Genomic DNA, 1,828 nt, shown 5'->3' on the forward strand with positions numbered 1-1,828 from the left:
TGCTTCTACACCTTTTCCTTAAGATGTCCTTCCATCCAAACTACTGTTTCCTCCCACCTCCACTTGCCACCGTCTTTACCCTCTTGATGCAGCTCCTCCTTAAAGCCTGTCTGATCACATCTACTAAATGAAGAGTACTCTCTCCCTCTAAGAACTCTAATAAGATTATGTTTATTCCTCTCATGTCACTTAGCTCTTAGTGTCTTTTATATAACCGTCTAAATATGTTTTTCTTGCCGTGTGAGCTGATTTACACAAAGTAGGGAATGTATAAATATCTGTCAAATGAGCAAGTAACTCTTAGAACCTGAAATACAAGCTTTTTTGGCAGGCTGGCTTTAGTCATTTTTACTTAAACAGTGTCTTCTAGCTCATGCTAAACATGTGAGACATCTGGGCTCCACCACTATGCCTGGGTTGGCTTTTTCATCTACTTCAGAGACATGTCTTAGGTGATGAGGCTTTCAAAGACAACATTGTTTCCTGGACAGTAATGGTTTCCACAGTTCTTTGATTTCCTTGAACACCCTAAACGAGCAGGAGATCTTGTAATTCCATACGTCTGATCATTTCTGCAGACATGCCTGGAAAACAGAGTATCGACACCAAGTTTAGACTTATGCTTTAATTTTTCAAACTATTTGAAAATCTAAATAAATATCCCCATGCAGGCCCCTTTTCCACCAACGTCCTTAAATCATTTGTTAATAAGTAATGTGCTAATACCTGGAAATGATTACATAAACGAGCAAATAAATTTGCTCTGCTGTCAGCTCTAGCGCTGTATTCTACGTGAAAACAACCATATCCAATTCTTTTTCCCCTTTGGTTGTGAAATGAAGGTGCACATTTTATTTTATAGCTCTGTAGGGAATAGTGGAACTATTGAAGCAAATGGGAAACTGGTTCAGGAAAAGGAAATTTAAACAAAGAACGTAAGATGAATAAAAGTGTAGAGATTTCCTTTGTGTTTATATCAGACATCCAGAGCTCAAAGGGCAACATATAACAGGCTCACTCTTATATGGAAAATTTAGTTACTCAGACTTTCACAGAGGTGAGTGTAAAACCACTCTAGGCAATTTAAGGAATTAAGTTTGGGAGACTGGTTGGAGATGGGACTAGCAAGACTTCAATTAATAAATTAATTGAAGGAGAAAATGGGATTTTTTTTTTTTTCCCCAAGACAGAGACTTGCTCTGTTGCCTAGGCTGGAGTGCAGTGGCACATTCTCGGCTCACTGCAACCTCCACCTCTGGGGTTCAAGCGATTCTCCTGCTTCAGCCTCCTGAGCAGCTGGGATTACAGGTGCGTGCCACCATGCCCTGCTAATTTTTGTATTTTTAGTAGAGACAGGGTTTCACCATGTTGGCCAGGCTGGTCTTGATCTCCTGACCTCGTGATCTGCCTGCCTCAGCCTCCCAAGGTGCTGGGATTATAGGTGTGAGCCACTGTGCCCAGCCAAGAAAATGGGATTTTATGGTACAAATTAAAAATTCACATATTGGTATATCACTTCAGTGAACTAATTACCCTAAACTTAAAAGAATCAAGAGGCACAAAGTGAATGAGAATTCAAGGCACACGCTAAAAGAAAATATTTGCAAAAGATATATCTGATAAATGACTGTTATCCAAAATATACAAAGAATTTTAAAATGCAATAAGAAAATGAACAACCCAATTAAAGCATGGGCAAAAGATATGACCAGAAATGTCATCAAAGAAGACATACAGAGGACAAACTAGCATATAAACAGTTGTTCAACATCATCTGTCCTTAGGGAAGTGCCAATCGAAATAACAATGAGATACCACTCCCCACCTA

Source organism: Homo sapiens, chromosome 5 (genome assembly GCF_000001405.40).
Source record: "Homo sapiens chromosome 5, GRCh38.p14 Primary Assembly".
Lineage (NCBI taxonomy): Eukaryota > Metazoa > Chordata > Mammalia > Primates > Hominidae > Homo > Homo sapiens.